General features: G+C 45.2%; 1 protein-coding gene across 8 annotated transcripts in view, besides 3 other annotated features; it reads right to left on the bottom strand.

The window, feature by feature from the left end:
* The window catches only part of ZNF69 (zinc finger protein 69), a 92441-nt gene extending 81301 nt beyond the window's left edge, over positions 1 to 11140 (bottom strand). For 7 of the 8 annotated variants that reach the window (XM_017027231.2, XM_006722874.4, NM_001321163.2 and 4 more), the window contains exon 1: positions 10936 to 11140. In XM_017027231.2, coding sequence (XP_016882720.1) covers positions 10936 to 10998 — 63 coding nt within the window. In that variant the 5' untranslated portion in view covers positions 10999 to 11140. Of the gene's footprint in view, positions 1 to 10362 lie in introns of all 8 variants that reach the window. The other variant, XM_047439351.1, reaches the window with a different exon arrangement.
* Positions 10894 to 10943: an enhancer, noted in NCBI's record as "active region_14037". NCBI's record gives its function as "activates an Ori minimal core promoter by ATAC-STARR-seq in GM12878 lymphoblastoid cells {active_cell/tissue: GM12878}" and the evidence as "EXISTENCE:reporter gene assay evidence [ECO:0000049][PMID:35858748]".
* Positions 17422 to 17601: an enhancer, noted in NCBI's record as "active region_14036". NCBI's record gives its function as "activates an Ori minimal core promoter by ATAC-STARR-seq in GM12878 lymphoblastoid cells {active_cell/tissue: GM12878}" and the evidence as "EXISTENCE:reporter gene assay evidence [ECO:0000049][PMID:35858748]".
* Positions 26034 to 26328: an enhancer, noted in NCBI's record as "tiled region #10901; HepG2 Activating DNase matched - State 8:EnhW". NCBI's record gives its function as "activates a minimal TATA promoter and a strong SV40 promoter by Sharpr-MPRA in HepG2 cells {active_cell/tissue: HepG2}" and the evidence as "EXISTENCE:reporter gene assay evidence [ECO:0000049][PMID:27701403]".

Genomic DNA, 26931 nt, shown 5'->3' with positions numbered 1-26931 from the left:
TTCACATGTAATATGTTCTTGCATAAGTTGTAGGATACACTACACAAAGTCAATATGGTTTTTTTGGTTTAAAACAATTATTTTCTTTGAAACAGGGTCTTGCTATGTTGCCTAGGCTGGCCTCCAACTCCTGAGTCCAAGCTATCCTCCTGCTTTGGCCTCCCTAAATGGTAGGATTACAGGTATGAGGCTCAGCACCTGGCCAGTCAAGATGTTTAAAACAGTGGAAACTATGCTGGGCGTGGTGGCTCACGCCTGTAATCCCAGCACTTTGGAAGGCTGAGGTGGGTGAATTATGAGGTCAGGAGTTCGAGACCAGCCTGGTCAATATGGTGAAACCCTCTCTCTACTAAAAATACAAAAATTAGTTGGGTGTGGTGGTGTGTGCCTGTATTCCCAGCTACTCCGGAGGCTGAGGCAGAAGAATTGCTAGAACCCGGGAGACGGAGGTTGCTGTGAGCCGAGATCATGCCACTGCCCTCCAGCCTGGGCAACAGAGCGAGATTCTGTCTCAAAAAAAAAAAAAAAAAAAAAAAGCCAGGAGGAACTATGAGCCTGGAAGAAAACTGCGGGAACTCTGTGGATTATCTGCTCAATGTTTTGGGGAAATAACCACTGTTCTAAATAATAAAACCCATTAAATAAGAAAGTGAATTAACTATCATTCCATATAAGGTTCATAACTGAGTTAAAATAAAATCCAATATGAAATATCACATATTGGTTATCATTTGCATGAAAAACATGCAAAAATAAAACATACTGATGAGGATGCATACCCAGGTTGTGAAAGTATAAAAAAATGTAAGGCAGTTATCTTATTCCCAATACTGGCTCCATCATTATTTGGATTAATTGTGCAATTCTTTTATGTATTTTGTGCACATGTAATATTTTTAGTAAGATTCTAGAATGCACACTCTATACAGAAATAACTATCAGTGAATTATAATTATCAGCAACAGTCTGCTAAATATAATTTTTAAAAGAGCACACTCTATTGAAACTAATTTTTTTCTTTTTTCTTTTCTTTTCTTTTTTTTTTTTTTTGAGATGGAGTCTCACTCTCTCACCCAGGCTGGAGTGCAGTGGCGCCATCTTGGCTCACTGCAACCTCCGCCTCCCGGGTTCATGCCATTCTCCTGCCTCAGCCTCCCGAGTAGCTGGGACTACAGGCGCCCACCACCACGCTCGGCTAATTTTTTATATTTTTAGTAGAGGCGGGGATTCACCATGTTAGCCAGGATGGTCTCGATCTCCTGACCTTGTGATCCACCCGCCTCGGCCTCCCAGAGTGCTGGGATTAGAGACGTGAGCTACCGCACCTGACTCTTTTTTTTTTTTTTTCAAACAGGGTCTCATTCTGTTGCCCAGGCTGGAGTGTAGCGGTGCAATCATAGCTCACTGCAGCCTCGAACTCTTAGGCTCAACAGATCCTTCTACCTCAGCCTCCTGAGTAGCTGGGACTACAGGCACACATCACAGTGACGAGGTAATTTTTTGTATAGGCAAAGTTTGCCATGTTGCCGATGCTGGAATAATCTCTTTATTTTTATTTTTATTTTTATTTTTTTGAGATGGAGTTTCACTCTTGTTGCCCAGGCTGGAGTGCAATGGCGTGATCTTGGCTCACCGCCACCTTGGCCTCCCAGGTTCAAGTGATTCTCCTGCCTCAGCCTCCCAGGTAGCTGGGATTACAGGCATGTGCCACCAGGCCTGGCTAATTTTGTATTTTTAGTAGAGACAAGGTTTTTCCATGTTCATCAGGCTGGTCTTGAACTCCTGACCTCAGGTGATCCACCCACCTCAGCCTCCCAAATATTGGGATTACAGGCATGAGCCACCATGCCCAGCCACTAATTTCTATTAAAACTAATTTTCTTCAAGTCCAAAAAAGTCTCAGGAAGGATATAAAATGATTATTATGCAAAAAGTCTACACTGAAAAACATCAATATAAAATGAAATAAATGAAAAAATGTCATGTGTCCTTAAAAGGAGATTAAATAGCACTATGATGTAACGTTTCTGAAATATGACTACAGTTATATTTTAGTCCATGAAATTTACAAGGCAGTTTGTTTTTTTCACTAAAATTAAGAAAAAACTACTTCTAAAAACCGAAATACAAGACAATGACTAAGAATAGCCAAGATGCTCTATAGAATATGGTTGGGGGGTGTTACGGCATGAATATTTGCATCACTCCAAAAAAATCACACATTAATAACCTACCCCCAATATAGTATTAGAAGTTGACATCTCTGAAAAGTAATTAGGATTAGATGACAGCATAAGAGTCGATCCTTTCTGAATGAGATTAGTGCTCTTATAAGAAGACACAGGAGAGCCGGCTTCCTCTCCTCTGTCACATGAAGAAACACAAGAAGATGACCATCTGCAAAACCAGGAAGCGGGCCCTTACCAGACACTAGATCTGCCAGCTCCCTTAACATGGACTTCACAACCTCAAGAACTGCCAGAAATAAATGTTTATCCCTTAAGTCACCCAGTCTATGGTAATTTGATATAGCAGCCCAAGATGACTAAGATAGACAGGCAATATACCCACTAAACACCACAGCTTTGAACGTTATACTAATTAAGAGAAAATGGTATTATCAGAGAGATGGAAAGATAGACCAATGGAAAACAGCAAATTGTGAAACCAGGGAATCTTTTTTTTTTTTTTTTTTTTTTTTTTTAATGGAGTTTCGCCCTTGTTGCCAAGGCTGGAGAGCAATGGTGTGATCTCGGCTCACTGCAACCTCCATCTCCCAGGTTCTCGTGATTCTCCTGTTTCAGCCTTCCAAGTAGCTGGGATTACAGCCATGCACCATCACGCTTGACTAATTTTGTACTTTTAGTAGTGACAGGGTTTCACCATATTGGTCAGGCTGATCTTAAACTCCTGACCTCGGGTGTTCCGCCCGCCTCAGCCTCCCAAAGTGCTGGGATTACAGGCGTCAGCCACCATGCCCAGTCTGGGCATCTGTTTAAGGTAATGTGAAACTATGACAAACCAGGTATTGCCAGCCAATGATACAAGTGGTGAACACTTAACAGAAAAAGCAGCGACAAATGGTTATCTACAGGAGAATAATCAGTTTACTACCCATCATCTCCACATACAATAATTTAATTAATTCTAGAGTTGCCTCTTATACTGAGTTCTTATAGTTATATGTTACCTTAGCATGCATTTTCTTTATGGATTTAACTTTCTCATAACGGAAAAAAACTTTATTCAAACTTAACAGTTTCTAGTTCTCCACCTCCTCCCATTTCCTCCATGTGGTCAACTCACATATATTTCTTACACGACTGCATTCTGGTGACCACCTCCCTGTGGGACAGCTAGATATAACCAATTTGACTTGTACCACTGACCCTTACACCCCACATGGATGGTACAGACCACCTCTTAATCACAGTATGACTTCACAGAACTAGTGCCTGCTTGCTCTAAATCCACCAGAAACAACTCCCTGAGCGACGTCTCCTTGTTCAATTCCCTGGACCCTGAGAAACGCTTTGGCCCACAGGTCCCTGTCTGTCTTGCTCCCCACCTGCTGGTTGAATGTGCATCCTGGATGTTCTCCCCACTCTGTGTTGCTCTGCAGCTGTGCTGCCCTCATCTCCTGGGATTGTGAGCCATGCACTGTATGTCATGGGCTTTGTTGAGTTGCCTCTTCTGTGTCTTACCTGATCTATGCAATCATTCTTGGATTTGGCTCTAGTGAAAAATGCAACGTAAAGTTAATTTGAAATACTCAAGCTGCAATCTATGAACTATTCTTTACAAGGGACAAGCCCACAGAGGGGCAATACTGGCTGGAACACAGTGATGTCTGACTCATGTGTCAGCACAGGTCACCCTATCACATGAGACATCTCTCCACCCCCATCCTGCTCACCGAAGCGCTCATGACTACTTTCCACCAACACCGCACTATGCCCCGCTGTGAACCTCAATTTCATATTCTGATTTGCAGGCTACTGGTCCACCCCGTTGGGGTGGGCTTTCCTTGTCTTTTGGGGTTTTGTCTTCCTTCACAGTTGACACAATCCAGAGGACAGGAATCATTTCTCCTTTCCCTCAATAGCACCATCCAACTGGCTGACCAGCCATGTGTCTCCAACTTACGAAAACTGGGACTGGGAAAGAAAAGCTGAGCATCTCGAGGGGTTGGCTATCTAGATGCAGAGTATACTAGGAGTCTCCTTCCATCGTAAGGCATTCAGCTGCTCTCTTGGGAGTCCCCATTCTCCTACCTCAGTCTGTCCCCTGGGAGGAGTGACTCAGGGGCTGATACTCACTAGACCCTCCAAGAGACATGGCAGCTGTGGGAATATTAGGTCACCCCATTCTACCACCCAGGACCAAGAAAACATAGGAGAGTGTGCTGAAGACACAATACCCTTTGAAGTTTCCAAAGGGGAGCCTCAACCAAAAGACAATCTGATAAGATCTCTGTTTTTAGGCCAGGTGGGGTATCTCATGCCTGTAATCCCAGCACTTTGGGAGACCAAGGCGGGTGGATCACGAGGTCAGGAGATAGAGAGCATCCTGGCTAACATGGTGAAATCCTGTCTCTACTAAAAGGCTCCTGTAGTCCCAGCTACTCAGGAGGCTGAGGCAGGAGAATGGCATGAACCCGGGAGGCGGAGCTTGCAGTGAGCCGAGGTCGTGCCACTGCACTCCAGCCTGGGCGACTGAGCAAGGCTCTGTCTCAAAAAAAAAAGATCTCTGTTTTTAGGATAGATGAAAGGAGGAGATGCATACAAATTTTCACACGGGAGTGTCTGGTGGTGATTCTCTGAACATTTCACATGAGAGGAAAGGAGAAGTGCTCAATGACTATTTCCCACCAACACTGCATTGTGTCCCCTGTGTACCCCCATGCATATCTTGCTTTGCAGGCAATTGCTCCACTATGTTGGAGTGGCTGTTCCTTGTCTTTTGGGATATTTCTCCCTTCACGGTTGAGACAATCCAGAGGACAGGAATCATTTCTCTTTTTCCTCAATAGCAACATCCAATTGGCTGACTGTCTATGTGTCTCCAATTAATGGAAATTGGAGTTGGGAGAGAGAAGTTGAGCACCCCAAGAATTGGTTATGTAGATGAAGAGTATACCAGGCATCTCCTCCACCACAAGGCATTCAGCTGCTCCCTCGGGAGGCCCCACTCCCCTAAGGCACTAATACCCATGAGACCCTCCGGGAGACATGGCAGTTGTGGGCATCTTGAGTCAGCCCCGGGCAGTTCTAAAACCCAAAACCAGGAAAAGATAGGAGGGTGCACTGAAGACACATCACCCTGTAATGTTTCCAGAAAGGAACCGCATCCCAAAGACATCCTGATAAGGTGACTGTGTCTAGGAAAGATAAAAGGAGGAGAGGCAGAAAGGATTTTTCGGGAAAATGTCTAGTGGTTATTCACTGCTTTCCTCTCATGTGAAATGTTCAGACACAGATTTCACTGCAAGCCCTTGAAGAGTCAGGCTGTGGTATGAGGGTGGAGGATTTGAGATCCGGCATCCCATATATTTGGAAAATGCCAGGGGAAAACAGTCTCCCTGGAGATTGTGGAAAATTTTAAATAAAAAACAATGAGACCGAACTGTATGCAGTGTCCGAAGGTCCTACTTAAAGACCCTGAAAGCAAATTTAAATACAACTCTTCAAAATTATTAATCTATAGGGAAACAAAATTTATGCTTAATCAGGCAGAATCCACCAATTAACCTCTGATTACATAACTAGAAAATTTCTACCTAAGTCAGGCCAGGAAAGCTGGCTTATACCTGTAATCCCACCACTTCAGGAGGCCAAGGTGGGCGGACCACTTGAGGACAGGAGTTGGAGACCAGCCTGGCTAACGTGGTAAAACCCCGTGTTTACTAAAAATACAAAAATTAGCCATGTGCGGTGGCACATGCATGTAATCCCAGCTACTTGGGAGGCTGAAGCAGGAGAATTACTTGAACCCAGGAGGCAAAGGCTGCAGTGAACTGAGATGATGTCACTGCACTCCAACCTGGGCCACAGAGTTGTCTCAAAACAAACAAACAAACAAAAACAACAAAGTAATTCAAATATTTAAGCTGGTGGATCTCTATCTTGAAGCAATGCAATCATGGGGTTGAGTCACATGACACACAGCTTTCACATAGCCAGCTGGAACTCTCCTTTCCCTGATTACAGATTCGCCTTCTTTCTTACCTATAGTGTTTTGTAAAATGTTGTAAATGACTGAAGGGAAACAGGAAAGACCCTTTCCCTCTTCACTTTTTTTTTATTTATTTAATATGATTTTTCACAATTGAGATGGCATCTCACTTATGTTGCCCAGGCTGGTCTTGAACTCCTGAGATCAAGCCATCCACCTGCCTCAGCCTCCCAAAGTGCTGGGGTTACAGGTGTGAGCCATCCCACTGGGCCCCTCTTCACTACTGATCTCTGTAGTAGACTAACTTCCCTCTTAACTTTCTCACACAAAGACTTCATGGCTATCACATTGTCTTCAGCTGGAATGTTGAATTCACTCTTTTAAATTGAAAAGGAAATAAAAAACAGCTAGAAAGAAAAGAAAACAAGCGCTGGGGGAAAAAAGCAAACCATAACAAATTAAGTTGCTAGCCAGGTGCACTGGCTAACGTCTGTGATCGCAGCACTTTTGGAGGCCAAGGAAGCAGGACTGTTTGAGGCCAGGAGCTAGAGACCAGCCTAGGCAACATATCAAGATGCCACCTGCATACAAAAAAAAAAAAAAAAAAAAAAATCAGCCAGGAGTGCTGGTGGGCGACTGTAGTCTCAGCTACTTGGGAGGCTGAGGTGCTTGAGCCAGGGAGGTCAAGGCTGCAGTAAGCCATGATCGCACCACTGCTCCAGCCTGGGCCACAGAACAAGACATTCGCTCAAAGAAAAAAATAAAATTAAATTATTGTACCTCATACATCAGCCTTCTATGGAAAATGCAATCCTATTATATTTATTTGCCTTTTCCCTATACAAGTGTTAGGGAAGCAGGTGCCTAGGGGAGCCAGAGAAACACCAATTTAAGTTCAGCTCCATCTTGAGACTAACAAGAAACACTCCTTGCCAGTCACAACCCATGATCATAAAGTTTCCCATGAAGAAAACAGCCTGAAGATGCCTGCAAGTATCCTTACACTCCCACAACAACAGAATGTCCTGATGTCCCAATACCCATAACAATATGTGCTTTCAAGATAATTATAGTTGTTTTAATGCACTTGGGTGCTAAAATGTAAAGGATAGTTTTCTTTAAATCAATAGAGTAATAAATTTTGTGATGCTGTCAGCCCCCATGCAGGTAGGCACAGCTTAGTTTAGTCTTTACATAGACAAGATCCCTACCTAAGAAAAACTTAGTACATTCCTCCACTTGCTTTATGAGGATGCCCTACTCTGTAACAGAGAATCACTCTCTTCCTTCCTTCCTTCCTTTTTCTTCCTTCCTTCCTTCTTCCTTCCTTCCCTCCCTCCCTTCCTTTCTTTCTTTTCTTTTTTTTTTTTTTTAATACAGACAGGCTCTCACTGCATTGGCCAGCTGGGTCTTGAACGCTTGCCTCCCGAGTACGTGGAACTACAGGTGCAAGCCACCACACCCGGCTAATTTTTGTTATTTTTGGAAAAGATGGGGTTTCCCTATGTTGCCCAGGCTGGTCTCGAACTGCTGACTAGAAGTGATCCTCCTGCCTCGGCCTCCCAATGTGCTTAGAAAACAGATCTAAGCCATCATGCTGGCCCAGAGTAGCTTTCAACAAACTCCCTTCTCACTGCACTTTGTGACTCGTCTTGAATTCTTTCCTGTGTGAGATCCAAGAACTCTCTTGGGGTCTGATCAGGACCTCTTTTCCTGGTAATATAAGAAAGAACTTAACTTCTAATTTTAGAGTACTGAGTCCATTTCTCTGGAGTCTGTTTTTTTTCCTGAATGGGCCATTGCTATCTTTCTGCTTGAATAAACTCTTCAAACTGAAATCTGAACCTTTGAATTATTTCGGGCTGGCAAGTCCAAATAAGGCGACTGCATCTCTGCAACCAATCAAGCATTTATCTGGTTTGTCTCCTCATGTACCTTATAAAAGCTGAGGCTTCAACCTATAAACTAAAAATAAAAATCTATCTTCTGGCCTGGCGAGGTGGCTCACATCTGGAATCTCAGCACTTTGGGAGGCCGAGGCAGGTAGGTAACTTGAGGTCAGGAGTTCGAGAACAGCCTGGCCAACATGGTGAAACCCCATCTCTACTAAAAACACAAAAATTAGGCAGGCGTGGTGGTGCATGTGGGGAAAAGAGAGATCAGATTGTTACTGTGTCTACATAGAAAAGGAAGACATAAGAAACTCCATTTTGGTATGTACTAACAAAAATTGTTCTTCTTTGAGATGCTGTTAATCTGTAACTTTAGCCCCAACCCTGTGCTCACAGAAACCTGTGCTGTATTGAATCAAGGTTTAATGGATTTAGGGCTGTGCAGGATGTGCCTTGTTAACAATATGTTTGTAGGCAGTATGCTTGGTAAAAGTCATCACCATTCTCCATTCTCGGTTAACCAGGGGCACAGTGCACTGCGGAAAGCCGCAGGGACCTCTGCCCAACAAAGCCTGGGTATTGTCCAAGGTTTTCCCCCACTGAGACAGCCTGAGATCCGGCCTCGTGGGAAAGGAAAGACCTTACCATCCCCCAGCCTGACACCCCTAAAGGGTCTGTGCTGAGGAGGAATAGTGAAAGAGGGAGGCCTCTTTGCAGTTGAGATAAGAGGAAGGCTTCTGTCTCCTGCTCGTTCCGGGGAATGGAATGTCTCTGTGTAAAGCCGACCATTCATTCTATTCTGAAATAGGAGAAAACCGCCCTGTGGGAGGCAAGATATGCTGGCAGCAATACTGCTCTGTTACTCTTTGCTACACTGAGATATTTGCATAAAGTGAAACATAAATCTGGCCTACCTGCACATCCAGGCACAGTATCTTTCCTTGAACTTATTCATGATACAGGTTCCTTTGCTCACATGATTCCCTGCTGACCTTCTCCCCACCATCACCCTGTTGTCCTGCCACACTCCCCTCGCCAAGATAGTAAAAATAGTGATCAATAAATACTGAGGGAACTCAGAGACCAGCGCCGGTGCAGGTCCTCGCATGTTGAGCGCCGGTCCCCTGGGCCCACTGTTCTTTCCCTATACTTCGTCTCTGTGTCTTATTTCTTTACTCAGTCTCTTGTCTCTACCTGACAAGAAACACCCACAGGGGTGGAGGGGCAGGCCCCCTTCAGGTGCGTGCCTGTAATCCCAGCTACTCAGGAGGCTGAGGCTAGAGAATTGCTTGAATCCGGAAGGTGGAGGTTGCAGTGAGCCGAGATTGAGCCATTGCACTCCAGCCTGAGTGACAGAAGGAGACTCTGTTTTAAATAAAAACAAAAACAAAGTACCTTCCCAGGTAAGTGAAGTGACCGGCTCTTGGCCAAGGGAACCCCCAAAAAACCCTGAAAATTGAGTGCCTCTGTATGACAGGATGGGAGGTGAGACAGGCCTCCTTATACCCTCTCCCTTTAGGAGTTTACATGCAGCAACTGACGCACATTCATGTAAAAACAGACATTATCTGACTGGAAAAACAGACTCCTTGTGGCAAGAAGATACCAAATTACAAACAAGACCTAAGGCCACGCAAGACAAGGGTAAGTCACACCTTAGAATTCATAAAATCTAGAGAAACAGGTCTGTTTTTTGGCTGGGATGGAATCAAGTGGCAGATAACAGACCCCCTTCCTTCAGCATTCCTTCCTACCTCCTCCAAACTTTAGACAAAGCTTCACACTCTCAACCAGCTGCCACCTACAGAATCCCTCAACCACCTGTGCCTTCTAACCCCCCTTCCACAGGTCCCGCCCTTTCTGTTTTTTGTTTTTGTTTTTGTTTTGAGACAGAGTCGCACTCTGTGCTGAGGCTGGAGTGCAGTGGCACTGTGTGGGCTCACTGCAACCTGTCTCCTGGATTCAAGTAATTCTCTTGTCTCAGCCTCCCGAGTAGCTGGGATTACAGGCGTCCACCATCACGCCCGGCTAGTTTCTTTTTTATATTTTTAGTAGAGACGGGGTTTCACCATGTTGGCCAGGCTGGTCTTGAACTCCTGACCTCAGGTGATCCGCCCGCCTTGGCCTCCCAAAGTGCTGGAATTACAAGCGTGAGCCACCGTGCCCGGCCAGGTCCCTCCCTTTCTGCCTAAGGAAATTACACCTTCCAGGCACTAATTCATGATTTTCCCTGCAATTCCTGTCTCTCTAAAATGAATAAAACCAAACTGTCTTGAGCCGCCTCGGGACCACTTACTCCAGGCTTCTTGGGGTTGTTTTTCCCTCGGCCAAGGTCTCTCCTATTCGGCTCCGAATAAACTTCTTTATTTTACATAGTTTGGCTTTTTCCGTTGACAAACCACAAGCCAGGACTGGGTGTGTCTCATTCGTGAATCGCTGTTTGCTCAAATGAACTCTTTGTTAACGTTCCTCAGTTTAATTTTTAACAGGAGAAAAAGTGGACACTGGGGGCCCCACAGACCGCTGCTCCTCCCAAGCACGAACCCCACACCCGAGTCGGGATCACCCACATGACCCTCCCGTGGCCCCCGCACAATCTGGGTAGACGCGTGGCTGCGGGCGCGGAGCTGCCCATAGAGGGCTCTGGAACCGCAGTCGCCGCGCAGAGACGAGACAGGACGCCTGGTGTCCCGGCTACCGGCCCAGCCACACCGAGCAGTCGAGGGGACCGAGGGCCGAGCGGCTCCAGGAGGACTCGGTCCCAGATCCCAAAGTCGCCCGCAGGAAAGCCAGGGTCTCGCCACAGTCGGTTCCGGTCGGTCCAGGCAGCCCCTCCCCCGTCTCACGACACCCGGCCCCAGACACGCACCATTTCCTGGCTTTCAGATGTCCCGGGGTCCTCTCTACACCTCCTGTGACTACAGCAGGGCATAGCGTAGGTGACAGAGTGACAGAAGCCTGGGCAGAGGAACCAGGTCCCTCTCGGGGCTGGAAAGACCGGATCCCAGCCGCAGCCCGCGCAGGGACAAAGGTGAGGTAAGGAATGCGACCCCCTCAGTGTCTGGAGGAACAGTGGGCAGGGACCCGCCACAATGCCTCTGATTGGATGGAATGCTAGGCCCCGCCCCCCATGTCTGAGTGACAGCGGAAGCCCTGGGTATCGGGCCCTGCAGAGCCAGACAGACGGATTCTGACCACAGCTTTTCCAAGGGCGAGCTCCTTCCTGCACTCTGGTTATTGGATATTTGCATTTCAGCCAAACTTGCTATTGATAGAGGAGAACACTAGCGTCTTCCTCACTCAAGGGACTGTCCCTGCTCCTTCGTTCTGCATGGGGTCACAGGAGTGTGCAGGGAATTTCAGATTCAGTGTCCACAGGAGCCATCTCCTGCCTCAGAGCAGCAGGGGAACCGAGACCAGGCCAGACACGACTGCGCCAGGAGGAGAGGCATATGTCTTGGAGCGGGCCGCAACTGGGGATGAGGCATGGCTAAGACTTGCTCTCACACCCCCATCCCCTCCTCACAGTGTGAAAATGCTTCCTCCTTCCAGATCTTCATTTTCACCAGCAGGAAACTCTCTCCAGGGGTTAAGTTAAGCTTTTGACCTAAATAAACTGCCAACTTCATGAACCCTTTATCCAGGTGACGCTCCCAAACATTTCTGTCTCTAGCCTGATCTTCACACATTTTCTTTTCTTTTTTTTTTGAGACAGAGCCTCGCTCTGTCCCCCCAGGCTGGAGTGCAGTGGTGCAATCTCCACTCACTGCAACCTCCGCCTCCTGGGTTCAAGTGATTCTCCTGCCTCAGCCTCCCCAGCAGCTAGGATTACAGGCACATGCCACCGCGCCTGGCTAATTTTTTGTATTTTTAGTAGAGACAAGGTTTCACCATGTTGACCAGACTGGTCTTGAACTCCTGACCTCAAGTGATCCACCCGCCTCGGCCACCCAAAGTGCTGGGATTACAGGCGTGAGCCACCGCGCCTGGCCCACATTTTCTTTATATATATGAATATCTCTGTCGGATATAAAATGCTTTAGGAATAAATTCTTGGTCCCACGAAGTAAAACTAGCACTTAGGGGAAAGTTTCATTTGTTTAGCAAGGCAATTTACTTCTGCAGAAGTGTGCCACTTGTGTCAATCAAGATCACAAGAGCACAGAGAACAAAGGTCACCGGGGGTTTTTTTATCCTTAATGCGGTCCCTATCTCTGTGTCACTCCTTCATGGGCTGGGGTTCGACCACACAATCTGAGCTGACCCGACTGGCTACTTGTACGTATTTTTCTAAATATAGAAGGAGAGGGGAACGTGAGGTACAGAGATGGAGCGTGTGAGACGTGCAGTTTCGGGGGAACAATGGGTACAGGTAACCAAGGGAACAGATGTGAGTTATTGATTAGAGCTGACGGGAAGGGGGTAGGCTGTTTTACAGTAACTAGGGGCAAGGAGGAACAGGAAAGTTGAGCTGGAGAACAAAAGACAAGGAAGTTAGCAGGCTAAGTCTTTGAAGAGAAACTCAGAGAGGCCAGGCGCGGTGGCTCACGCCTGTAATCGCAGCACTTTGGGAGGCTGAGGCGGGTAGATCACGAGGTCAGGAGATCGAGACCATCCTGGCTAACATGGTGAAACCCCGTCTCTACTAAAAAATACGAAAAATTAGCCAGTCGTGGTGGTGGGCGCCTGTAGTCCCAGCTACTCGGGAGGCTGAGGCAGGAGAATGGCATGAACCCAGGAGGCAGAGCTTGCAGTGAGCCGAGATCACGCCACTGCACTCCAGCCTGGGTGACAGAGTGAGACTCCGTCTCAAAAAAAAAAAAAAAAAGAAACTCAGAGAAATTTACTGTATGTTACAATTCCTCCCTTTTAATTTTCTTATGATTTTTTCTCTTTAAACTTTTTTAACGTGTTTTGGCTTTGCTGTTTGATTTGATCTTTTAAAAGGAAAAGCTTACTTGAATAAGGTGGAGGAGAACTAAGGGAGGTTTCAGTAAATGCTGTTCGTACAATCCTTTGTATTAGCCTACGGATGCATGGTATGACACAACGCCTAACAAGAATAAGTACACCTGTTACGACTGTAAAAGAAATAAGTATTGAGGCTATGATTCTTTATTGACTGAACTACTTTCCTAGCCATCTTGAAATAGGGTCATTGACTCCAGAAATTTTAGCTAATTCATTGGATAAAGCGGTAAGTCTTTGCAAGGCCTTTGTTATGCTCTCACTGGGGGCAGTGTTGTTTGGAATGAAGGTACAACACTGGGTTTTAATCATAACACAAACTCCACCTTTTTTGGCTAATAACATGTCTGGAGCCATTCTGGTTTTTATTTTTTGAGATGGAGTCTCACTTCGTGGCCCAGGCTGGAGTGCAGTGGCACCATATTGTCTCACTGCAAGCTCTGCCTCCCGGGTTCACGCCATTCTCCTGCCTCAGCCTCCCCAGTAGCTGGGACTACAGGTGCCCGCCACTACGCCCGGATACTTTTTTTGTATTTTTTAGTAGAGACGGGGGTTTCACCATGTTAGCCAGGATGGTCTCGATCTCCTGACCTTGTGATCCGCCCACCTTGGCCTCCCAAAGTGCTGGGATTACAGGCATGAGCCACCGCGCCCAGTCAAGTGATTCTGTTTTCTTAAGCTATTTGGCTAGTAGGCCTTAACTGGTCAGCTGTTTTTTGATAAGATCCTTGGTGTAATTCATAAACTGCTGCTAATTATAATAGATGTAATTTATCGAAGCTACATTTTTATTAATAGTTATTCGGGGAAATATGGGTTTAAATCTTGCAGTTATTTGGTCTCAGGTTTTGAACTTGTTAGGCACTCCCCATGGGACTCTAATGGCCTTTATGTAAACTTGAGAGTCAAAAGACTTATAAGGGGCTTCTCTTATTTTTTGGTGTTGTGGCTTTTCTTTTTTTTTGGTTGATGAAATGCCAGTGTGAAAGGGATCGCCAATTGGACAAGAGCGCAAGTGCCGCTCCAGTTACTTGGCAGAGTATCCAGTAAAGGTCCACTACAATACCACCATACATCTGCTTGAGGATGACTAAGGGCAGACTGATGGGTAAGTTTTTGGAAGGGCTTAAGCTTATTGCATCTTGTTAAGCTTCTAAGGAACGCCAGATTCTCCCCTCGTCGTGAGAGACATGAGGTGAAATTGACGTCAGGAGAAGGAAGCTGAATGGCCTTTGGGGGCTGGCCTGCAGGTTGTTGGACTTCGGGATATAGCAGAGAGAGAGCTTGGCATGATTTGTTGCCCCAGGCTGTGGAATTTTGGAAAAGAGCTACCATACAGCCTATGCCTGGTCGGCTGAAGGGCTATCCTAGTGGAAAGGAAACAGTCTGGGCCTCTAGTCTGCCATGCATACAAGCGTAACAATTGCTTTTGTTCAATGTGCGGACGGAATATTGAATCCATTCCAACCAGGTATTTACATCTTGATATCCTGTTTTAATTGCTAGGGTTTGTCTTAAATCTTTTACTTCTACAATATTTACTTTAGTAGTATCATTAGGTAGAAAACAGGTGGCAGTCTGATTAGAAGAAAGCTTAGAAGGAGAAGAGAAGGAAGGGGGTGAAGAGAATGAAGGATTAATAAAACGCATTTCGAAAGATCTTATGAGGTCTGTGCTGGCCAAGTTGGCTCCTGTTCCATAGAAGTGACTTAAAGTAGGTTTAGGGTCAGTAGAGGTGGAAATTTGTATGGGATTACATTGATTATACTGGCAATTGGGGAGGTGCTTTTTTTAGTGAAATGAATGTATGGTTTTAAGGATATACAGCCACCTGCTGATGAGGTCTAGCCTTGACATTTGGTTGTCCATAGGACATCATTCTAGCTATGACAGACTTGTTTTCTTATATTTGTTAAGGAACAAGAGTCTTGGTAGGGGGGGCCTTTCACCTTAAAGGGGCAGAGATACTTTTCTGAGGCTGAGACTTGTCTTTGACTTTGGAGATCTTTACAGGGTATGACTAGACATAGCATTAAACGTGATAACTTGGGGTGAGTTTGATTGAGTTACATTAATGACAAGGTGGTCAGCATTGGAAGGGGAAAAGAAGAAAGAGTAATAGAATAGATGTAAGAGGTTAAATTTTTCTTAGCTTTAGTTTGAGGGGGTTTTCCCCTGGAATAATGGCCTACGACTTTGGGGGTGGCGGTGCTTTCTTGACTCGGGTGTGATGGGTCTATCCTTTCTCTGCTGTCCAGACTGCAGTTTCAATGGTGGGAAGTACTAGGCCAGCTCCTCAGGCCGGTGTTGACGCACTGGGAACTCCAGGAGCCGCACCTGTACTGGAAAATTGTGAGTTTTGAGGGAAGAGAAAGTGGAAGATAAACCAAGTATGTAGGAATGTTGGCAGTGGATTGCTTTGAGAGGTAGTTTGGATTAATAGGAAGACAGAAGACATTTGAGTTATGGCAACTAAGTTTCTAGACTTGTTTGGCTAAGGATGTACATTTTCATACACATATAAACTTTAACTGTGCTATACATAGCTTGAGGTCTTTAATGGGTCCTCTAATTTAGGTGGGATAGGACTTCTTTCATAAGAGGTTTAAATAACATTTGAATTCCCTTCAGTGCCTACAGGAGAAACGGCAGCTGGTTCGGATTATCTGATTTGCTAGGTTATTTTCTTAACTCTTGAAAGATAGGATTTTTGGTGCCTGGGGACGTGGAAAATAGCTTTTTTTTTTTTTCTGGTAACTGAAGGTTATTTAACACTTGGGTTATTAACTCTTCATGAACAAGGCTTTGACCTTTATTATTGTCTGAAATTTTCTAAATGTATGAGCCACGATAAAGGTGTATTTAGAATCAATATAGATTAGTATAGATGGTTCCTTTGCAGTTACTTTAAAGCTTGACTAAGTGCAAACAGCTTACAAATTTGGGTAAACTATTAAACAATTTTTAAATTTTATTTCTCTAGGAACTTCTCTATTTATTATTGAACATCTGTTGAATCCTTTTTCCTTTAATCATTTTTGAAGGGGGTTTCTCTTAAGTTTGGCCGGACATTTGTATGGTAATCAGTTAAATCTAAACATGTGTGCTTCCTTTTTAGATTTGGATCTTTCGTTAAGAAACTTGTTAGGTTAAGCAAATTACTAGTAACATTAAACTATCATTTTTAACAGAATAGCCTCATATTTATACACATGTAATTCTTTTTTGGTGGTACATTTTAACATAGGTGACTTTAAAGAATCAGAGTTCTTTTCTGGTGGATATTTTCACTTTTAACACTGGCCTGACTATAATAAATGCTAGTGGATATATCCGCTGAAAGATTATCTACTTCTTGCTCAGGAAACTTAGCTGCGGGGATGCCAGGCTGCTTGGAGCCATCGCTGAAGCCCCGTATTACTTAGCCTCAGCAAAGTAAGGCAGATATCCTATAATGTAGTTTGCATGGGGCATAGGCTGGGGCCTGGCTCGCATGTCATGCAGAGCTGCCGTCAATACAGTGCCAGGACCTTGGACCAGCCAGTGGGCAGGAGCATGGGCTTTGCCGCTGCAGGGGTGCACTATGGGCCAGACAACGCTGACAACATGTTGCGGCAGATCCTTCATGTTGCTAGCCTGGCAAAAGCCATCTGGTGAATTAGGAGCTTGGAGTTCTTTAGGGGAGAGGGACTTAGGCTGGGGAAGAACAGACTTACTGGGCGATGCCTGAGGGGAAGGGTTGGGTATTAGGTGGGGAATGGTCTAGGGGATCTTGCGAGTTGTTCTTTTTGCTAGGATCCCCCAAGCCCCTTCCTTCACTGTCTTTTTCATTAAAGATGGTTCTATCTTAATAGGGCACATGTACAACTCATTTTCCTCCAAATATTAGTTTTTGACTTGCTCCTTTCAATCCTTGGAGGAGGGGAAAGGACAACTCCTTGCAACTAACATAGGGCATAATTTGTTTCTTCTCAGGAGGCAGGTCTTCTACTAGCAACATTTTCTATTAGAAGTTCACAAATCCATCCCTCATTCGACTTAAATTCTGGCCAGAAAACTAAGGGTTCAAGGATTCGTTCTTGAGTCTAAATGGAACAGCAATATTTTATCACTAATTGCTTTTTCTTATGTTTAGTCTTTTCATTATCTTTCTAATGTTTTAACATGAGACCTAGGGGACTATTAGGGGGGATATCTTTGTTGCTAACTTTGTCTTTTTTGCTTGTAATATTTCCTATACTGGGTCCTGGCTAGGCTCAATCCCTCGTGATAGGAATCTCTTGCCTAGGGGGGCTTGCTGTGGCTCAACCCCTCATATTAAGGATCTCTTGCCTATTTTGGGGGTTCCTTGTGGCTCAGCCTCTCAAATTAAGGATCTCTTGCCTATTTGGGGGGTTCCTTGTGGCTCAACCCCTCATATTAGGAGGTCTTTTGCCTATCCCTCACTGGAAGTGTGGCTAAGGCTCAATTCCACTATCCTTTAGCTCCACCTGCTGGAGGTTCCTTGCACCCTTCTTTCGCTTCATCCACTCTGGCCGCTTCCCTCGCAGGTTTGTTTCAGGTTCCTCTTAGCATTGATGGCAGGTCCGTATAAACCTGTGACAGGACCCCCGCAGGGCTGCCCTAAGCCGTGTGAGGTGACCACAGAACCGCAGATTGGACTCACTCGCTCCGCACAGCAGTAGTGCTTGTTACCATTCATGCACTTTCAACCCCCAGAATGCCCTGACACACCCCTCCGACTACCAAAGAATTACTTTGTTGCCCCTGCAACGTTTCCCACCTTGGTCTGTGCACAGAGTTTACCTGGTCGCTGCGGTATTGCAAGCCTCTCTTCCCCGCGTTGCTGAGAGTCCGGGTTTATTCGTCAAAATGGGTGGGTCTCGATCTCCTGTCCCTGAGGCCACCGCAATGGGGCAGTGGGACGCGTCTCCCCAGGGTAGGGTGACTGAAGAACTCTTCCAAAAGGAGCATGGGGATCTCGGACGATCCCCTAGAATTGTTGGATATAAAATGCTCCCGGAATAAAAGCTTGGTGCCGTGAAGTAAAACCAGCACTCAGGCAAAATTTTAATTCTCTCAGCAAGGCAATTTACTACTGCAGAAGGGTGCCACTCACGTCAATCAAGATCACAAGAGCACAGAGAACAAAGGAGACCAGGAGGTTTTTATCCTTAATGCGGTCCCTATCTCTGTGTTACTCCCCCATGGGCTGGGGTCGGACCGCACAGTCTGAGCTGACCCGATTGGCTGCTTGTACATATTTTTCTAAATATAGAAGGGGAGGGGGATGTGAGGTACAGAGGTGGAGCATGTGAGATGTGCAGTTTTGGGGGAACAATGGGTACAGGTAACCAAGGGAACAGATGTGAGTTATTGATTAGAGCTGATGGGAACGGGGTAGGCTGTTTTAAAGTAACTAGGGGCAAGGAGGAACAGGAAAGTTGAGTTTGAGAACAAAAGACGAGGAAGTTAGCAGGCTAAATCTTTAAAGAAAAACTTAAAGAAATTCACTGTATCTTACAAATCTGACCCCAGTGGCCCCATGCATGTCAAACCCCAAACCCTGCCCAGAAGACAGCCCCAGGCTCCAGAGGTACAACACCAGAAAGGACAGAACCCCCACACATACGTGTGCATGTGGGTCTTCTGCTTTCCAGGGCTCTTCAGCTTCTCGGAATCCGCACTCCTTCTGGAGCTGCTCTGAGCAATTGGAGGCCACCTGTAGGGGAGGGCGGGCTGCCCGGAAGCCCCCAGGAAAGGCTCCTTTCCCTTCCTTTGCAGGCTCCACACTGGCCTCAGCGTTGAGTCACCGGCCTCGGGCTCTGCTGCCCCCTGCAGGTTATTCAGCTACTTCTCACCCCATTGATCAGTTCCATGACACAAACACCCTCAATCCCATTGTGTGAATAAGACACCAGCAGAGTCCCTGCTCTCCTCCTATGTTTATGTATAAAGTGGGGAAGGAAAATTCTAAGATAACTTAAGTGCATTTAAAAGATTTCCAGATCGTGGTGGAGGTGGCAGCTGAGGGACGCACGTTCAGTGACACTGCAGTACCTCCGGGCCTGGCTGGTTGGAGAGAGGGTGGAGAGCTGGAGATGAATGTGGATATATGGAGGGAGCAGCCCTGGGAACCGGGCTCTGCAGCAGCGCGGCTCTAGGGCCTGGAGCCCGGGGGAGCAGAGATGATGGGGGCTCCTGGGACAGGACGCTTGGGGAGAAGAGAGTCAGGCGGTTTCCATGGGACAGGGGTGCTGTGGCAGCTGGTGTGGGCCTGTGGCTATCATAACTAAGCCCGATTGGGACGTGAAAACTTGGATTCCGTGGGAATTTATGAAGAGGAAGGCTCTGATGACAAAGAAGTCATCGATGAGGAGAGGGATTAGGGTCACTGGCAAGCTCGCCCCCTTATGGAAAGAAAAGTGAACGTTCAGCTACTGCGGCAAAATGGGGTCAAAGGATGAGACTCTCACTGTCAGGGAATAAATTGCTGCAGAACTCTTAGAGATTGCAAAGACCTTCAAACAACAGCCTGGGAGGCCGGGTGCCATGGCTCACGCCTGTAATCCCAACATTTTGGGAGGCCAAAGTGGGAGGATCGCTTGAAGCCCGAGATTGGAGACCACCCTGAGCCGTGAAGTGAGACCCTCCCATCTCCATAAAAAATTTTTAATTACCAAGGAGAAGTGTGTGTACCTACAGTCTCAGCTACTCAGGAGGCTGAGACAGGAGAGTCACTTGAACCCCAAAGTTTGAGGCTGCTGTGAGCTATAATTGGGTACTGCGCTTCAGCAAGACACTGTCTCAAAACAAACAAACAAAAAATTAAAATCCCACCAAACTCCCTGGGGAAACCCTGTACCCCTTTGATGGTCAAAGTGTAAAATACAGCAGGTGGTGACATTTCCTTATGGACTGGATCATTCTAGCCACGTAAGAGGCTTGGCCTACTGAAGATTTACCAAGCGGGATCACCTCCTTGCAGTCAGTGGAAAAAGCCCCCGGTGAAACCATCCCTTTAAACTTTATCAAATTCATCAGGGAGGATGGGAGGAGGAAAACTTAAACCAAGCTTGCGGCACCTTCAGCATTAATCATCAAGTCAGCTTGTTCTCTGACCTTCCTCATATTTGTTTCATACCTAGTGTCCTAGAATCCCATAGACCCTAAATGATAGTTCCCGTTAACTGCTCTATACATAACAATTTGAACATTAGATATTTTCCCTTATAAATATTCCTTTTTGAGTTCTGGGTGCATTGGTTCATAACTGTAATCTCAGCACTTTGGGAGGCTGAGGTGGGAGGATCACTTGAGCCTTGGAGTTCAAGAACAGCCTGGGCAATAGAGTGAGACTCCATCTGTACAAAAAATTTAAAAACAGCCGGGCATAGTGGCATGTGCCTTTACTCCCAGCTACTTGTGAGGCTGAGGCAGGAGGATCCCTTGAGCCCGAGTTTCTACAGTGAGCTATGATCCCACCACTGCACTCCAGCCTGGGAAACAGAGCCATACTATTTCTCTTAAGAAAAAAAATCCAGACATTTGTTGGTCTTTGGATTATTGGAGAGCATTTATCTGACACTTAGCCCAATGTTTTAGAAAGGGGCACTTTGGGACTGGGACACAGCTCTGAAGGAAGCTTTGGACAGGTTAATGTGTTAGTATGGCAGGCACAAGCCTCAGGCACACCTTTAGAGGGTAGAGCTGTGACTTGGGATGATATAGTTGCTGCTGAGGGTACAATTTGGGACTTACGGCAACCACAGTGTGGTAAATCAGTCCCTTTAGGATTGTGGTTGTAATTATGACATGGAGATGAAACCAGACACTCTTGAGTCAGTGCAGGCAGTATATAATGCTTTCCAGCAGGTGGAATCCTTAAGAAAGAGCCTTTGCATGACTGTGAGAATGGGAGTACCATGCCCAGCTAATTTTTTTGTATTTTTAGTAGAGATGTGGTTTCACCATGTTGTCCAGGCTGGTCTTGAACTCCTGAGCTCAGGTGATCCACCCGCCTCAGCCCCACAAAGTGCTGGGATTACAGGTGTGAGCCACCGTGCCTGGCCTCCCACTAAGTTTCTTTCATTTGCCCTGGCACAGTTTCTCATGCCTTAATCCCAGCATTTTGGGTGGCTGAGGTGAGTAAATCGCTTGAGCCCAAAAGTTTGGGCTATGACCACACGGGGCAACATAGGCCTAGTCTCTATTTTTATTAAAAACAGAATATACACACACATATGAATGAGAGGCCGAGTGTGGTGGTTTATGCATGTAATCCTAGTGCTTTGGGAGGCCAAGGCAGGTGGATCACCTGAGGTCAAGAGTTCGAGAACCACCTGGCCAACATGTTGAAACCCCATCTCTAACTAACAGTACAAAAATTATCTGGATGTGGTGGCACGCACCTGTAAACCCAGCTACTTGGGAGGCTGAGGCAGGAGAATCACTTGAACCTGGGAGTCAGAACTGGCAGTGAGCCGAGATTGCATAATTGCACTCCAGCCTGGGTAACAGAGCAAAAACTCCATCTCAAAAAAAAAAGCAAGAAAAAAAAAAAAGAAAAACTTTCTTTTTAGTCCCTAGTTGGTAGGCTATCACTAATATCACCAGCAGTTGTCTATGAGGCAAACCTGTTCTCACAATGGGTCCAAAAGGAAAAGTAGATTTGGAGACATTACAGGTAGATCCAAATGCAGCACTTGTACGACAGTATATGGTTAATGTGAGGACTCTTGGGGTGACTTAGCTCAGGCTAGTATAACAAAGTACCATGGACTCAGTTTCTTAAACAGCAGAAATTTGTTTTTCACAGTTCTGAAGCTTGGGAAGTCTGAAATCTTGCTGCCAACAATTTTGTTCCTAGTGAAGGCTATCTTCCTGGCTTGCAGCTAGATGCCTTCTTGCTTTGTCCTTACATGCTGGAGAGGCAGAGTTCTCTCTCTCTCTTACTAATCCCATTGTGAGAGCCCTCCTTTATAAATGTATGTGATCTCCTAAAAGGTCCGTGTCCAAATATGACCCTGTTGGGGTTTAGGACTTGTAACTATAAATTTTGTTTTTGAGACAGGGTCTCCCTATGTGACCCAGGCTGGTTTTAAACTCCTGGGCACAAGGGATCCTCCTGCCTCAGCATCCAAAAGTACTGAGATTACAGGCGTGAGCCACCGCACCCGGCCTCTAAGTATATATTTTGAAGAGAGTAAATGCAGGGCATGCCAAGGGGTAAACAGAAGTCCAAAAAGAGGCTTTGGAGACGATGTAATCAGACAGGACTTTATCACATAGCAGATGGGGAGCAAGAGTCACAAAGGAGTGAGGTCCAATTTCAGAATGGCAGAGAGAAGGGACATCGAGGTAGCTGTATGATTGCATGAAGGATGAAAATGCATGCCAGGGCCACTACATGGAAAAGTATTGTAATTATCTAGGAAAAAATGAGAATAAAAAAGAAAAACAAGTAATCATAATGAAAATGTAAAACAGAAAATGAAAAACAGAACAGAATAACCTTTGTTAGCATGCAGTTCTTAAAGATTTTAATAAAATATTGGTCAGAAACATGGTTTAAAAAAAAGAAAAAACCCTATTGCTGAGCATAGTGGCTCATGTCTGCAATCCCAGCACTTTGTGAGGCCAAGGCAGAGGACTGATTGAGCCCAGGAGTTCAAGAGCAGCCTGGGCAAAACAGTGAGACCCCTGTCTCTACAAAAAAATTTTTTTAATTAGCTGGGCAGAAAGCTGAGGTGGGAGGATTGCTCAAGCCCAGGAGCTTGATGCTGCAGGGAGCAGTGAGTGACCACTGCACTCCAGCTGGGCTACAGAGCAAGGCTGTGTCAAATTAACAAAAAAAGAAAAAAAGAAAGAAAAATAACTACCAATTAGTCAAATGTAAGAGGATGACTGGAAACAGCTAAACAGGAGATGAAAGATCATATAGGAAAAATGCTAAACCAATGGCAACCAGTAAAAAGCAATACGTAATCACACAGAGATTGTGTTTCAGAGTAAATGGGCAATAAAAAGTACGTTAGATAATTCAAAGTGTTGGCAAATCACAAGAATAAAGACACATCTATGAAAGGTGAGATGGTTAATCCATAAGTTACATTCATACTCTGTCGACATTTCCTAGTAATTTTGTATTTATTCATAATCTACAACCCAGCAATTTTTTCCCAACATGTAAGAATTTGTGTTGTATTTCCAATTAGGAACAAAAACAAGAAGAGAATTGTCAATAAGAACAAAGATAGACTTGAACCAACTCAAGTCCCATTAAGCAGGGAAATAGGCAAGTCAATTACATGACCCACAACTTCACACAGCAGCATGTTTGCAACAGGCTCAGGGAAAAACCCAGAAATACACCCTCTCAGCATAATACTAATGGTGTATTAATGGTAGTATTATGTTACTGAAAATTCAAAGGTGGCAAAATTCTGCTTTGTGACAAAGAGATGACAAAGCTACAAAAAATAACAAAAGGAATCAAAACTTTGATCACCTTTGCATACGAAAAATAAGTGAGACCAAGGAGACACACCAGAACTGCCCAAGGCCTATCCATTTTGGGGTGATATGTCTCTGAGTATTCATATTGTTATTATTTTGACTTGGCACAAAACAGCTTATTTCAAGAACTCGATTTCCTTCTTCAAAGATTATCAAAATATTCACTAAGTTTCCAACCAGCTAATTAAAATCCTAACATGCAAATCATAGAATAAAATTCTTAGATGTGGCCAGGTGCAGTGGCTCATGCCTTTATTCCCAGAACTTTGGATGTTGAGGTGGGTGGATAACTTGAGGTCAGTACTTTGAGACCAGCCTGGTCAACACGGTGAAAACTTGCCATAACTTTAAAAATACACACACACACACACACACAAAAGAGCAGGGTGTGGTGGCATATGCCTGTAGTCCCAGCTATTTGGAAGGCTGAGCCAGGAGAATCGCTTGAACCTGGAGGGCACAGGTTGCAGTGAGCCGAGATTGCGCCACTGCACTCCAGCCTTAGCGACAGAGTGAGATTTTGTGTGAAAAATAAATAAATAAATAAAGTAAATAAGTAAATAAAATAAAATAAATTCTCAGAGGCGTGGGGAAAGAGCAATTCCATGGCAGCAAGATTTTGTAAAAGAAACAAAAGGGAGGCAGCTCAGGTAGGCAGCCTGCCTCACCCACAGCTCACAAGGAAACCCACACTCCAATAGTTACACATTCCCAAGCTTAGGAACCACTGGGACTGTGGAGACACAGGCCAGGCTGGCCCACTCTTAGGTAGTGTGTGAGGGAAATGTGAGCAGCCAGAAAATTACTTCTGGGACTTCCACACACACCCTGCTGGCCCCTCCCCACAGTGTGGACACAGTCCTTCCACCGGGGTCTCAATGCCCACCAAAGACCACTCGCTCACTGTGAGTCAGTGGAAGGTTCTGACCTATGCTGTCTTTTTTTCTGACACCAAATGTGTGGTGCTTGCTGAACACCAGCGAATTCTCCAGCACTAAGCAGTCATGCAACCACTCAATTCAGAAGCCACCCAGAGTTAGCAGAGACTCCATGAGTTCCTGGCTCACCCAACACAGCCCCACTCAGCAGATGCCACTCAAAGCCCCAGGGGCCACCTGTACTTCTCAGCAACTGCATCTAGACCTGGGTCCTGTACAACAGCCTCCTCAAGTTCCATAATTTGATAGAACTACCCACAGTTCACTTACATTTACCAACTTATTATGAAGGATACAACTCAGGAGCAGCCAAATCAAAGAGAGTAAGGGGTGTGAAAAGGAGATGGGGGTGGGTGGGTCATCCTGAAAAGAGGTGTGATTCAAGAAATCCCCCATCCTTTGTGTTGTGCAAGAGCACCTTACTACAACAAAACACCCTTCCCCTTATGACTTAGATGATGCCACGTTTGTTACCTATGACAAACCAGACACAGACTAGAAATTCCAGTATTCACCTCACAAACCATTAGGTGAATAGCTTTGTCTTTAGTGATCAGTCAAAATGAAATATCTATTAATCAAAGCATGCTTCAGTTTCTCTCCTTCCTCCAGGTCCCTGAACTTTTTTTTTTTTTTTTTTTTTTTTTCTTTTTTTGAGACAGAGTCTTGTTCTGTAGCCCAGGCTGGAGTGCAGTAGCATGATCTTGGCTCACTGCAACCTCTGCCTCCCTGGTTCAAGTGATTCTCATGCCTCATTCTCCGGAGTAGCTGGGGTTGCAGGTGTGTGCCATCATGCCCAGCTAATTTTTGTATTTTTTTATAGAGATGGTGTTTCACTATGCTGGGTGTTTCACCCATGTTTCAAGGGTGGTCTTGAACTCCTGGCCTCAAGTGATCTGCCCAAAGTGCTGGAATTACAGGTATGAGCCACCACGCCCAGCAGCCCCTGAATTTTTGACTGACTCCTTCTAAGCCTATATACAACCCCATTTTAGGTATTTAATCTTTTTATTTTTACTTACAAGTCCAGTACCTAGACTTTTTTTTTTTAAATGACCTCTTTTAATGACAAGCTGACTTCAAGGTCTAGAATTAAAAGTTATTTCTTACCTAAACCCACATTTGTTTCACTAGAAGTGTCTAGAAAAAGCCCCATGACAAAAATTATCACTTGCGCACGGCATCACTGACTACTGCATCTGCCTGTGGATCCCCAGCTTTCCAGGATTCTGAGATTCTTTTATTATAAAGGGCTCCTCCCATGGTCAACGTGAGTAGCTGGTACACCTGCAGTGGGGGCACCATGGGAAGAACCAAGTGAGAGCTTTTTTTTTTTTTCTTTTTTTTGGAGACAGAGTCTCGCTCTGTCACCTAGGCTGAAGTGCAGTGGCACGATCTTGGTGCACTGTAACCTCTGCCTCCAGAGTTTAAGCGATTATCGTGCCTCAGCCTCCTGAATGGCTGGGAACTGCAGGCATGAGCCACTATACCTGGCTAATTTTGGTGTTTTTAGTAGAGATGGGTTTTGCTGTGTTGGCCAGGTTGGTCTCGAACTCCCGACCTCAGATGATCTGCCCGACTCAGCTTCCCAAAGTGCTGGGATTACAGGTGTGAGTCACCGCCTGACGTGAGCTTTCAATAACCTCTCTTTGTAGGCTTCTCATTGTCCTTAGCTTGCAGTCACTGGACTCTGGCCTCTGTTTCAATGAGAAAATACCCAGCGTTTGAAGAATCCAGCAAAATCTCTCAAACTCGGTTTATGTTTATAGGCTAGAAGGAAATTATAAGGTACTTACCTTTCATCCCTCATGAGGGAAAGTAAAAGTATCTAACCCTTTCAGTCAATAAACATATTGAGAAATGTGTTTACACTACCATGTAATAGCTCCTTTCCTGTGAATATCAAAAAGATTAATTATCTTTGTTGTTCTTGGGCTGTAAATGATTAGAAAAGAGTGGGAAGTGACAGAGGTAGGATCCTTTTGAGACCACTACCCCTCCTTACAAAAAGTTAAGGCAATCATCATTGAAATTTGGTAGCTGCAACCAACCAAATCACTGAAATGTGTGCACTGGCCTTGTATGGAAAATGTCACCCTGTTAAGCGTCTACATTTTGCCCTACAGAAGTGAAGACTCAACTTCCCCGTGTTGGAGCACTGACCCCACTCTTCAGGATATCTGTTTCCCCAGTGGCTATCCTCAAACTTTGTGCTCAGAAATACTCAATATTTAATCATCTTCTCTGAATCTTGTTATCTTATTAAGGTGGACAATATTATTTCATTATGATTTCCATGATAACAAAGCCCATACTACATATTAATCACATGTGAACACAAACATATGACAACAGTTGCCAGCCAGGTGTTACCTCACAAATAATAGGAAGAGAAGAGTTATCCACTGTTACAAGTTCTCCAACTTGCAAAGGAGGACTGA

This window comes from Homo sapiens, chromosome 19, assembly GCF_000001405.40.
Source record: "Homo sapiens chromosome 19, GRCh38.p14 Primary Assembly".
Lineage (NCBI taxonomy): Eukaryota > Metazoa > Chordata > Mammalia > Primates > Hominidae > Homo > Homo sapiens.
Note: the sequence above shows the minus strand (reverse complement) of the source record. Positions and strands in the feature narration are given on the sequence as shown.